Raw genomic sequence first — 12,497 nt, forward strand, 5'->3', positions numbered from 1 at the left:
TTGCCTTTTACTACATGGGTAACTTTTCTGTGCCTCATTTTTCTTACGTGCAAGGTGGGACCAGTAATTCCTGTTCTCTCAAAGTTTTTATAAGAAATAAAAGAGGCAACATATGTAAAGCACAATGTTTGGTAAATAGTAGAGGAACAAGTATGAATTCCTTCCCCCCTACCTAGAACAGATGTTTCAACCTTCTGGGTGGAAGGGCTATTCCTCAATCAGGCACAAACAACGAAGATCACTGTATCTATTTATGTCCTAAAACAATATGGTGTCAACAAGAAGTTATGGTTCTGTGGTGGGCTCTCGTCCCTGAATCAATTGAGTCTTATTATTTTTGTTTCTACAGCTCCTAGCATAGTACACTGATACTATGATAAGAGTTCAGGAAATGTCAGCTAAATGACTGAAAGACATGGCTACCTACTCTCTCGTGAAGATATACTATCTTGGGAAGATACATTCTCTTGAGAAAAATACCACATTTGAAGCTTTCATGTTCTGGAATAGTGATTCTTCCTTCATCTGCAAACACAGGCTCTACAAATGTGGGTTTGGCAGGCAGAATAGAGAATTTTAAAATAATCAGCACATCCCTTTTAGTTTTCAGTCTGGCTTTGCGCTTTATCTTTCTCTTCTGCTCTGGGTTAGAAAGTGAGCCTTTACTTAGTGGGATGGCTAGACAGTTACCAGAGACAGGCCAAAGGATTGGATCCGGGAGGTACCGGCCCGACCCCTAGCTCTGGCTTACGCAACCCCACAGATGTACATTTCGCTGCATCTGAGCAGAGAGAGAAGAGCACCGAGGGCCCCAGTGGGCTGCCCCGGCACCCTCGGCGGCAACGCGGAGACCAACTGTCCGAAACAAACAAGACCAGGAGGTTTGAGGGTAGCCAACGAGGAGTGCGAACAGAGCCCCCTTGAGAGGAGGCTGGGAAAAGGAACCTGTCTGGGATAGCCCCCAGCACAGGGCTACACAGAAAAATCCGAAGACAAGCTGGGGGTCTCCAAGCAAGGAGGAGAGGGGCAGGGTCCGGGTCTCCATGGAAACAGGGAAGGGGGGCTGGATACCCATCCCCATGGAAACGGAGAAGGGGTGGGGTCCCTATGGTGACCAAACTGAGGTCTCTATTGGGAAATGCTTCAGGAGGGAGCCTAAGTCCCGCGCCTCCCGGTAAGTCCCAAGCCCAGGCCGAGTCTAGTTTCGCCTTTTACCTCCGCGGCTCCCGGCAACGGCGGCAGCAGCAGCTTCTCCCCTCCCCAGCGGCACCATGATTGCCCCCACCTTCCCCTAACGTCACTTCCGCTTCCTCTTTCCGGAGGAAGGTGGGGACAGAGGATCCGCCCCTCCCTGGCGCCTCTGGTTGGCTCAGGTTGTCAGGGGGCTGAGCTGCAGCCTCCAATTGGCGAGCGGGGCACCGAGGGGAAGGCGCCCAGGAGGTGGGTTCATCCGCGTGGGGAAGCGCCCGGGGTGGCCACGCGGGGCCCGGAGGGTGTCGCCCTCGCGGCACCGGAGTCAAGGAGAAGGGAACGAATCCCCAAGGAAGAATCCGAAATGTCCTCAGCCAGGTTTGCGCTGACCGCCCTCGCCCTGGCAGCCACAGCCGCAGCGGGAAGGACCACAGTTGGCAGTCAGAACCCTGGCTCCAACCCGCCAGGGGAGCCTGGACGGCCGCGACGTTCCCGGGTTTCTCCTGCCGGGACCCCGGCCTTCCCTTCAGCACCCATCAAAGTTAACACAGGCAGGAGGCCCAGAAAGGAAGACAAGACCCCAAAGGCAGAACTAAGAGTATTCTAAGCCCAGCTGGAGAGGACGCCGCCGCCTCTTCCCCTTCTCACGCGCTTGCCTAGGACCCCCAGCTCCCTTCTCACGCGCTTGCCCAGGCTGGCGGTCCCAACTTTCTTCCCCTGCAAGAGGACGCGGCTACGGCGGGACTCATGCCCGGGCCAGTTAGCGCCACCTACCGGCCACTCCCTTCCTTTCACCGTTCACATTGTCCTGCTGGCCCGCGTCTTAAACCCATTTCACAGTGCCCAGAAGTAGTGGGCATTCGTACCCAGGAAGCGATTCTGCCTTCGTTATGCCCCTGTCCTTTCCAAATGCCTGGAGGATCTAGCTGTTAGATCCTCCCAGCTGCCACTGCCTGTTTTAACCATAAGCTGCTTCTCTCGAATATTCAGAGTGGGACAACTCCAAAGACCAGACCAGGGGTCAAGGGGTTCAGGTCAGTGCCATAACCATTTCTTGCTGGAAGTATGTGAATAGTGACTGGTACCCACCAGACTGCCAGGAATATGTCTCTTTGGCCCCAAGGCTTGAGCCACAAAATCCAGCTGCAGCGAACTGCCATCTCTTAAGACATAAAAACATACACAACCGCCACTGTTAAAAATACATTTATCATTAAAATATATTACACATGGAGACAGGATGCATCATATACAGTTTGGAAGACTTGCTGGCCCAGAAAATCCCACTTGTTTCACCGAACACTCATTTTTTCAGTGATTTTACATTTTATTTTTAGAGACGGGGTCTCCCTCTCTCACCCGGGCTGGCGTACAGTGATGTGGTCATAGGTCACTGCAGCCTCAAACTCCTGTGCTCAAGTGAGCCACCCACGTCAGCCTCCCAAGTAACTGGGACCACAGGCATGCATCACCACACCCAGCTAATTTTTTAAAAATGTTTTTGTAGAGAGGGGGTCTCCCTGTGTTGCCCAGCCTGGTCCCAAACTCCTGGTCTCAAGTGATGCTCCCACCTCAGTCTCCCAAAGTGCCGAGATTACAGGCGTGAGCCACTGTGCCTGGTCATTTTAATTTTTTAAATGCCTGTATTGCCCTCAGAGGCTGAGCAACCAGCCTCAGAGTTATTGAGCCATTATCTGGGCAGGAACGGGGGTCGAGTTTGCATATGCATATACACATCCTCAGACAGAGCACTGAAAGCATCTGAGGTGGCTGTAGCCTATTTTATCCAGCAGCTTCTGCCTGCATTCTTGCCATCCAACTCATTGGCCTTTCAGGACTTTCCATCAAATATCTGATCATGGGGATCTCAGCCCAGACTGACTATGCCCTGGAGGTAGGGTGAGTGAGTACAAGTACAGTTATTTAAAAACATTTTAGGCCAGGCGTGGTGGTTCATGCCTGTAATCCCAGCACTTTGGGAGGCCAAGGCAGGTGGATCACCTGAGGCCAGGCATTCGAGACCAGCCTGGCCAACATGGTGAAACCGTGTCTATACTAAAAACACACAAAAAAATTAGCCAGGCATGGTGGCGGACGCCTATAATCCCAGCTACTCGAGAGGCTGAGGCAGGAGAATTGCTTGAACCAAGGAGGCAGAGGTTGCAGTGAGCCAAGACCACGCCAACGCACTCCAGCCTGGGCAACAAGAGTGAAACTCCATCTCAAAAAAGAAAAAAAAAAAAAAAAGGCCGGGCGTGGTGGCTCACATCTGTAATCCTAGCACTTGGGGAGGCCGAGGCAGGCAGATTACCTGAGTTCAGGAGTTTTAGAACAGCCTGGGCAACACGGTGAAACCCCGTCTCTACTAAAATGCAAAAAATTAGCTGGGCGTGGCAGTGTGTGCCTGCAGTCCCAGCTACTCGGGAGGCTGAGGCAGGATAATTGCTTGCACCCAGGAGGCAGAGGTTGCAGTGAGCCGAGATCGTGCCACCGCACTCCACCCTGCGCGACAGAGCAAAACTCCGTCTCAAAATAAAAAAAAATAAAAAATAAAAAAATCTGTGTTAAATAACTAAAGTTGAAAATTGAATGTCAGTTTTATTATGGTGGATTTTCTCCCGTGTCTTCACGACTCACAGCGCTGAGTGTGCTAACCAATGGTGGGCTTAATTGGGGTACTAGGCTCAGGAAATAGCTGCCATTCTTGCTACCAAGTGGCCTCACATAATTATCTTAAGGCATCTCTTGAGCTGAAACAGGTGGGGCTGGTAATTGGCAGCCTCAAGTAAAATAGGAGGAGAGAGAGGCTCAGAGTGGGTTGCAGAGGAACTGGTGAATAAATTCTTGAGCCTTCTTCTTCTCTGTCATATCAAGCTTTTGGTGACCAGCTGGGTTTCGAAGCAATAAGCTGCCAAATATGCTAGCTGCAAGAAAAAACACAGAAAAGAAATGATTCAGCAAAAGAAGGTACTAAAGACACACATCACTTAACGACAGGGATATGTTCTGAGAAATGTGTCATTAGGTGATTTCATCATTGTGCAAACATCATAGCGTGTACTTAAACTTTCACAAACCTGTACTTACACAATTCTAGATGGTATAGTCTATTGCTCCTAAGCTCCTGTACAGCATGTTACTATACTGAATACTACAGGCAATTGTAACACAGTGCTAAGTATTTGTGCATCCAAATATATCTAAACATAGGAAAGGCACATCAAAAATACGGTATTATGAGCTGGGTGTGGTGGCTCACACCTATAATCCCAGCACTTTGGGAAGCCAAAGCGGGCAGATCACTAGAGGCCAGGAGTTCAAGACCAGCTAGGCCAACATGGTAAAACCCCATCTCTACTAAAAATAACAAAAATTAGCCTGTCCCTGCCAGTGGGCTTTCCAAGGGGAATGGTGCTGTGTCAGAGGTGGCTGAGGTTGGGGGGTTGTGGGGGAGGCAGCCCTGCTTGGTGTCCTGCCTCTCTGGTTCCTGCCTCCTCCCCCAACCACCCCGTGTCCCCAGTGGGGGCTCGTCCCCAGGATGCGATGAGGTTCCATGAGCGTGGTAGGGATGGTTGAGGCACGGGCGTTGGAGGGTGTGGCCCGGTGGCCCCTGTCCAAGGGTTGGCTGTGAGGGCCTGGGTGACCATCTGGCTCCCACTGGCTCCCAGCCCTCTCCCATCCTGCAGTGGGGAGGGTCACTGCCCTTTAAAAAAAAAAAAAAAAAAAAGGCAGGGTGCGGTGGCTCAGGCCTGTAATCCCAGCACTTTGGGAGGCCGAGGCGGGTGGAATCACGAGGTCAAGAGATTGAGACCATCCTGGCCAACATGGTAAAACCCTGTCTCTAATAAAAATACAAAAATTAGCTGGGCATGGTGGTGCGCGCCTGTAGTCCCAGCTACTCGGGAGGCTGAGGCAGGAGAATTGCTTGAACCCGGGTGGCGGAGGATGCAGTGAGCTGAGATCACGCCACTGCACTCCAGCCTGGCGACAGAGCGAGACTCCATCTCTAAAAAATTAAATTAAATTAAATTAAAAAGCTGGGCATAGTGGCAAGCGCCTATAATCCCAGCTACTCAGGAGGCCGAGGCACAAGAATCACTTGAACCCAGGAGGCAGAGGTTGCAGTGAGCTGAGATCACACCACTGCACTCCAGCCTGGGTGACAGAGTGAGACTTTCTCAAGCACACACACACACACACATGCACACACAAACACACACGCACAAAACCACGGTATTATAATCTTATGGGCCCTCCATCGTATATGTGGTCTTTCGTTGACCAAGATGTTATATGGTACATGACTATACTTTTTTTTTTTTTTTTGAGATGGAGTCTCACTCTGTCGCCCAGGCTGGAGTGCAGTGGTGCGGTCTCGGGTCACTGCAGCCTCCGCCTCCCAGTTTCAAGCGATTCTCCTAACTCAGCCTCCCGTTTAGCTGGGATTACAGGCATGCACCACCACACTCAGCTAATTTTTGTATTTTTAGTAGAGATGGGGTTTCACCATGTTGGCCAGGCTGGTCTTGAACTCCTGACCTCAGGTGATCCGTCCACCTGAGCCTCACAAAGTGCTAGGACTACAGGTGTGAGCCACCGCCCCCAGCCCATGACTATACTTACTCTTGTGTTGTTAGGAGTGGGGAGGAGTGTCCAAACGCAAAACTTTCTGCTTTAAAAAATCTTTGCCCAGAGCTTGATATTTTAGTTCTACTGCAAGGGACCTGGGACCCTCCTCAACCTCATTTCTCATTACGAGTCTCTCAGTTTGCAGAAATGCTTTCCATAGACATTTGGCTGCTTACCTAGAATATTCTCATCCAAATGATTTTTTGCTGAATTTTTCAGCAGTTCTCGCAAAAACGCCATCAAGTAGTGGAAGACATTTTTGTGGAATATGGGGAGAGTAGAAATGACCTGAAAGAGGAAGAACCGGGATTTGTCTTTTGTTCACTGAATCATTTCTCAAGTGCCTACTATAGTCCAAGAACTGTATACACGATCCAAGTGCACGAGAAAGACTGTGCACAGAAAACTGGTTGCTTACCACTTGGCATAAGTATCAAAAGAGAGGTACGGGTCAAATGCAACATGAATTTAGAAGTCAAACTTTTAACTACATGTTCCTATAAGACTGAAAGAAATAAGACATTTTAGTTGGGTCTTGAATGTAAGACAAAATGGGACTTACAGAGGTTAATAACTGGGGTGAGAGCAAAGAAAGTATAAAAAAAGGGCAGGAGAAGGGAAATAGTGAAGTAAGTAGAGAGAACACTTTATGAGAAGTCAATTTTGGCAGGAGCATAATTAGAAGGGTTGATCAGGCCCTGATCAATGAGTACTCCAGCTATCTGCATATCAGAATCAGTTTGGAAGTTTGAATAGATTCCAAAAGTGATTATGGGCTCAGTGGCTCATGCCTGTAATCCCAGCACTTTGGGAGGCCGAAGAGGGTGGATCACCTGAGGTCAGTAGTTCAAGACCAACCTGGCCAACATGGTGAAACCCCATCTCTACTAAAAATACAAAAATTAGCCAGGCATGGTGGTGCACGCCTGTAATCCCAGCTACTCAGGAGGCTGGGGCAGGAGAATCGCTTGAACCTGGGAGGCATTACAGTGAGCTGAGATCGCGCCAATGCACTCCAGCCTGGGTGACACAGCAAGACTCCATCTCAAAAAAAAAAAAAGTGTGATTCAGTAGATTTGGGGTGTGGCTTTAGAATCTCTATTATTGGCAAGTTTTCTAGATTATTCTGCCAAGGCCTGTTGTATGTGTGAACCACCAAGCTAGATCATAGAACGTCTTCAATATTTAAGAAAATCAGTAATTGGCAATAGAGAGCCAAGTATAGTTTTTGACCAACAGTCACATGACAATAGCTTTAGAATACACAATCTGATGGCAGCATGCAAAACAAATCAGCAGAAGGAGATCGTGAATGCAGGGCACTGAACCAAGCTAAGTGCAATGAGAATGGAAGAGAGAGGATGGGTGATAGATCAACGAGACTGGGCACATGGGAGGCAAGGAGAGGGTGGAGTCAGAAATGACTCAGGTTTCGGGGTTGACTCACTGGAATTAAGGGTGATGCCATTAAAAGAAACAAAGACATAAGAGAAAGAGCAGGTTTGAGAAGGAAAGATAAGGTGTTCAGTTTCTGAGATGCTGCACTTGAGGAACTGTGTCCACTCTGTTCCCTTAGCCCCATGGGGTCTGGGGCTAACCACATGCTGCTCAATGCTTCCTCTCACCTGTTTGCTTGCTGTGTAGTTGCCAGAACACTCCAAGCAGTTATGGTAGGTGCTGTAACAGATGACAGGCTCTGGAAGGCTCTCCAGGAAAAGCAGCAGGGCTTCGGCTACAGAATGATTGCTGGCAGCTTTTGGCCCCATTGTTAAGGAACCGATAATGCTGCTGTCCATGGTTAGGAAAAGGCCCAGGAGCAAGCACATGCCAGAAGTGCTGCCTGCCCTGTCAGGCTCTCTGCTCAGGGCTAGGATGCCAGCCTAACTTCTCGAAGGGACCACACTGTTTGTCAGGTGAGCCAGGCCCTCCTGAGTTCCTGCTCTATTGGTTGCTTAAAGTTGTAAATTCTTAGCCTGGGCAACATGGCGAAACCCTGCCTCTACGAAAAGTTCAAAAATTAGCCAAGTGTGGTAGTATGCACCTGTGGTCCCAGCTACTCGGGAGGCTGAGGTGGGAGGCTCCACAGGCTCCAGCCTGGGTGATAGAGATGGACCCTGTCTCAAAAAATAAATAAATAAAGTTGTAAAGTCTTCTCTATGCAAACTTTAAGTAAAACATGGTAGCTGAGGATACAATATCAGATTTTGAGCCATAAAATACTTTACTTTTTCTCACCCCTCTCACTCATATTCTCTCTCTCTCTCTCTCTCTCACACACACACACACACACACACACACACAGAGCTGAATGTCTGAAGGATACAGAGGTTATCAATCATTCCAGTATCCAAGCAGTCCCTGATATGTTCAAATTCTGACCTCAGGCCTGGTTGCTGAAACAGATCTTCCTGCAAAAGGGAAGACAGTAACAAAATAATTATTTTCTCAGAAAATCATCAATGATTTCCTGACCTGGCAATATCAATAGCAGAATGCAAAAAGGAGCAGTGTGGTGAGGCCTCTGAATCACCTGACAGATGATCTGATTTAGGCTGATGTGGCGAATTCATCTTGCAGGCCTTCCCTGGCATGTTTCTACAATAGGTCTTCAGGCATCTATTATAAAACTATGGGTAGGGCACACATCACACAAGAAGATCCAACATTGGAGAAAATGTAAAAGCAGCTATGTGTCCTGCAGTGGTATAGAGGGATTACCCAGGGGAAAAAAAATGAAGAAAATATACAGTGCATAAGAGCATAAGAGAACGCTAACAAGGCACCTCAATGCTTTGGGCAAATAAAATTATGGCAGCCATCAGGCGTGTTGGCTTATGCCTGTAATCCCAGAACTTTGGGAGGCAGAGGCGGGTGGATCACGAGGTCAGGAGATTGAGACCATCCTGGCCAACACGGTGAAACCCCGTCTTTAATAAAAATACAAAAATTAGCTGGGCTTGGTGGTACATGCCTGTAATCTCAGCTACTCAGGAGGCTGAGGCAGGAGAATTGCTAGAGCCGGGGAGGCGGAGGTTGCAGTGAGCCAAGATGGTGAACTGCACCCCAGCTTGGTGACAGAGCGAGACTCCATCTCAATAAAAACAGATTATGGCAGCAAAGCTATTTCTATTAGTCTCAGGATACTTTATGTTCATTTGTTTTACAAAATGACTTAATACCATATAACTGTATTAATAATAACAATATTATATGTATTGCTCAAAAGTTCCATTTGAAAGGAGTGCTACAGAGAAGGTAGAATAGTACAGCACTGAAGAATATGACTTCTCTAGCCAGATTCACTGTATTCAAATTCCACCTCTGCCCATTTATCAGCTTTGGGACCTTAACCAAGTTATTCACCTTTCCAGGCATCTGTTTCCTCATCTGAGAACTACTGTGAAAACTAGAGGCAATGCTGTAAAAAACACTTAGAATAGTGCTTGGTACACTGCAACTTTCAATAAATGTGAGGGGAAGAAAAGTGAAAATGGAATATCATAAGAATGTATATTTTTTTAAAAAAAGGATGTTGCTCTGAAGTGGTAAAGTGGGCTTGTAGTTTGTATAGGTCTCCCTGAAACCTATATAAACAGGTCAGTGAAACTAACCAATCTGATTAGTGAAGGCTGCCCTAGTCACTCTAGAAATCAGGCCTCCAAATTTGTGGCCCAGGGGTTGCATCTGATCCCCTGCCTCTGCTTGGTTTATCAACAAGTTGGCCCCACCCATTCCCAGAAGCTGGTGAGAGTTCCTGAAGGAGAGCGATGACATCCTGAGAGGCCTCCAGGCAGCTTTCTGGCAGGGGGACCCCAGAGGCCATGGGAAGGAACATGCTATGCTGTGCTGGGATGGGCTTCCTATGCAACGCTGCTTCCCTTGGGGGTAATCAGGTACTACACGTAATAGCAGGGCCTCTGGCAGAGCGCGGTGGCTCATGCCTGTCATCCCAGCACTTTGGGAGGCCAAGGTGGGCGGATCACCTGAGGTCAGAAGTTGCAAGACCCATCTCTACAAAAATACAAAAATTAGCCAGGCATGATGGCAGGTGCCTGTAATCCCAGCTACCTGGGAGACTGAGGCGGGAGAATCACTTGAACCCAGGAGGCGGAGGTTGCAGTGAGTCAAGATCGCACCATTGCACTCCAGCCTGGGCAACAGAATAAAACTCTGTCTCAAAAAAAAAAAAAAAAAAAAATAGCAGGGTCTCCCAGGAGTGTGAAACATGGCATACTATCTATCCTTCCTCCCCTCCCTGGGTGAAGAACAGTTCTCCACAGTTTCCTTATGAAAAAAGTTCTTGGGGCTGATGGTCCTCAAGGCAGCCTGGCCTCAATCAGGTCTGAATGCTTAAACACAACCTACCTGCTGGACAGCATTTCGGTACAGGTAATCAACCATCATCCAGAGCTCTTTGGGGATTTCCATGGGGCTATCCAACTGGCTCCCATCATCTCCAGTCCATACTGGCATCAGAGTCTGGAAAGCAATCAAGATCATGACAGAACTTCTGCCAGGCTGGCTCCAGGAAAATGCATGGCATGGGGACAGCAAACCCACAGAAAAAGGAAAACATTCCACTGCCCCTAACCACGCATTCCACAGACAGAAATGAAATCAGGTGGTATGATCAAGGAACAAAAGGTAATTTTTGAGAATCAGGAGAGGGTTATGACAAGCAGTTTCAATGAATCAGGTCAAATATGCACCATCTTTTCAGGAAAAAATCATTCCTATAGCATTTCACTATTAGAACCAGAGAGAAGTTGCGGTCTGGTGAGGAAACAGCACAGACTTGGGAGTCCAAAAATCTGAGTTCAAGGCCCAGGTCCACTGTTTTGATTTTCTTTTATTTTTTTTTATTTTTATTTTTTTGAGACGGAGTCTCACTCTGTCACCCAGGCTGGAGTGCAATGGCACGATCTCGGCTCACTACAACCTCCACCTCCCAGGTTCAAGCAATTCTCCTGTCTCAGCCTCCCTAGTAGCTGGGATTACAGGCGTGTGCCATCACGCCCGGCTAATTTTTTGTATTTTAGTAGAGATGGGGTTTCACCATGTTGCCCAGGCTGGTCTCGAACTCCTGAGCTCAAGCAATCCACCCACCTCGGCCTCCCAAAGTGCTAGGATTACAGGCGTGAGCCACCGTGCCCGGCCCGATTTTTTTTTTAATTGATTTTTTTTTTAAATTTTGAGGTGGGGTCTCGCTATGCTGCCCAGGCTGGTCTTGAACACTTGGACTCAAGTGATCTACCCATCTCAGCCTCCCAAAGGGCTGAGATTACAGGCGTGAGCCACCATACCAAGCCTCCAGGTCCACTGTTTTTATTTATTTATTTATTTATTTACTTATTTATTTATTCGAGATGGAGTCTTGCTCTGTCGCCCAGGCTCAGTGCAGTGGTGCGATCTCGGCTCACTGCAACCTCCGCCTCCTGGGTTCAAGCGATTCTCCTGCCTCAGCCTCCCGAGCAGCTGGGAATACAGGCGCCCACCACTGCACCCAGCTAATTTTTTTATTTTTAGTAGAGACGGGGGGTTTCACCATCTTGGCCAGGCTGGTCTCAAACTTCTGACCTTGTGATCCACCCGCCTCAGCCTCCCAAAGTTCTGGGATTACAGGCGTGAACCACTGCACCCAGCCTCCAGGTCCACTGTTAACTCACCATATGACCTGTGACAAATCACTCTCCTTGATTGGGCCCCTGTTTTCATCTATATGATGAAGAAGAGGGAGTTCAAGACTCCCTAAATTTAAAAATGCACTGGAAAAAAAGCATACATATTACCATAGGTCTGCTCCAAATTAGTTCCCTTGTATTAGAATTGTCTCCATAGGAATCTTTTAGATGGCAGCAAATTTAGTTTAGGATGATAACCTACCGATGATGATTTAAAAAAAAACAAAAGAATAATATCATTGACCTACCGATGATGATTTAAAAAAAAACAAAAGAATAATATCATTGACTATGGAACTTTCATTATTTTAGAATTCATGGCTGAGTTTGTCTTCTTTTTTTTTTTAGAGACTGTCTTGCGCTATCGCTCAGGTACTGCAGACTTGAACTCCCAGGCTCCCTCCCACCTTGGCTTCCCAAGTAGCTAGGACTACAAATGCACACCCCCATACCCAGCTCATTTCTTAATTTTTTTGTAGAGATGGAGTCTCATTACGTTGAGCAGGCTGGTCTCAAAGTCCTGGCCTAAAACATTTATCCTGCCTTGGCCTCCCAGAGTGCAAGGATTACAATTGTGAGTCACTGTGCCCAACCCATGGCTGAGTTTCTCTAATGTACTGCTACAAACTGAATGTGTATGTCCCCCTCAAATATGTACGTTGAAACCTAATCCCTCATGTGATGGTACTAGGAGGTAGGGCCTTTGGGAGATGGTTAGGTCATAAGGGCTCTGCCCTGATGAATGGGATTAGTGGCCCTAAACAAGACACCTCAGAGACCTCCCTCCCCTCTTCTGCCATGTAAGAACACAGTAAGAAGATGGCCCTCTATGAATCAGGAGGTAGGCCCTCACCAGACACCAAAGCTGGCAGTGCCTTGATCTTGGACTTCTCAGTCTCCAGAACTGTAAGAAATAAATTTCTGTTGTTGATAAACCACCCAGTCTATGGGATACTGTTAAAGCAGCCCAAACAAAGATACATACTATAAGTGAAC

The 12,497-nt window shown here is 47.9% G+C and overlaps 2 protein-coding genes across 24 annotated transcripts in view, besides 2 other annotated features; both read right to left on the minus strand.

The window, feature by feature from the left end:
* Positions 1–1,277, minus strand: part of MTF1 (metal regulatory transcription factor 1) — a 50,019-nt gene extending 48,742 nt beyond the window's left edge. For 2 of the 4 annotated variants that reach the window (NM_005955.3, XM_011541493.4), the window contains exon 1: positions 1,216–1,277. The gene's annotated coding sequence lies outside the window, so the exon portion shown is untranslated. Of the gene's footprint in view, positions 1–172 lie in introns of all 4 variants that reach the window. The other 2 variants (XM_047421170.1, XM_011541491.3) reach the window with 2 other exon arrangements.
* Positions 1,214–1,543: a silencer, noted in NCBI's record as "silent region_682". NCBI's record gives its function as "represses an Ori minimal core promoter by ATAC-STARR-seq in GM12878 lymphoblastoid cells {active_cell/tissue: GM12878}" and the evidence as "EXISTENCE:reporter gene assay evidence [ECO:0000049][PMID:35858748]".
* The window catches only part of INPP5B (inositol polyphosphate-5-phosphatase B), an 86,361-nt gene continuing 76,245 nt past the window's right edge, over positions 2,382–12,497 (minus strand). For 16 of the 20 annotated variants that reach the window (NR_158630.1, NR_158628.1, NR_158629.1 and 13 more), the window contains 5 exons: positions 10,186–10,299; positions 8,144–8,228; positions 7,446–7,573; positions 5,997–6,108; positions 2,382–4,115 (listed from right to left, as the gene is read on the minus strand). Coding sequence is in view for 13 of the 20 variants with exons in the window: in NM_001365825.1 (NP_001352754.1) it covers positions 4,000–4,115; positions 5,997–6,108; positions 7,446–7,573; positions 8,144–8,228; positions 10,186–10,299 (555 nt within the window). In the remaining 7 variants the exon portion in view is untranslated. Of the gene's footprint in view, positions 4,116–5,996; positions 6,109–7,445; positions 7,574–8,143; positions 8,229–8,350; positions 8,448–10,185; positions 10,300–11,169; positions 11,586–11,609; positions 11,700–12,497 lie in introns of those variants that run through there. The other 4 variants (XR_946643.3, XR_007059978.1, XM_017001206.2 and 1 more) reach the window with 3 other exon arrangements.
* Positions 6,974–8,173: an enhancer, noted in NCBI's record as "MED14-independent group 3 enhancer chr1:38330961-38332160 (GRCh37/hg19 assembly coordinates)". NCBI's record gives its function as "activates an origin of replication core promoter dependent on BRD2, BRD4, P300/CBP and CDK7 cofactors, and independent of MED14, by STARR-seq in HCT116 cells {active_cell/tissue: HCT116}" and the evidence as "EXISTENCE:reporter gene assay evidence [ECO:0000049][PMID:35650434]".

Source organism: Homo sapiens, chromosome 1 (genome assembly GCF_000001405.40).
Source record: "Homo sapiens chromosome 1, GRCh38.p14 Primary Assembly".
NCBI lineage: Eukaryota > Metazoa > Chordata > Mammalia > Primates > Hominidae > Homo > Homo sapiens.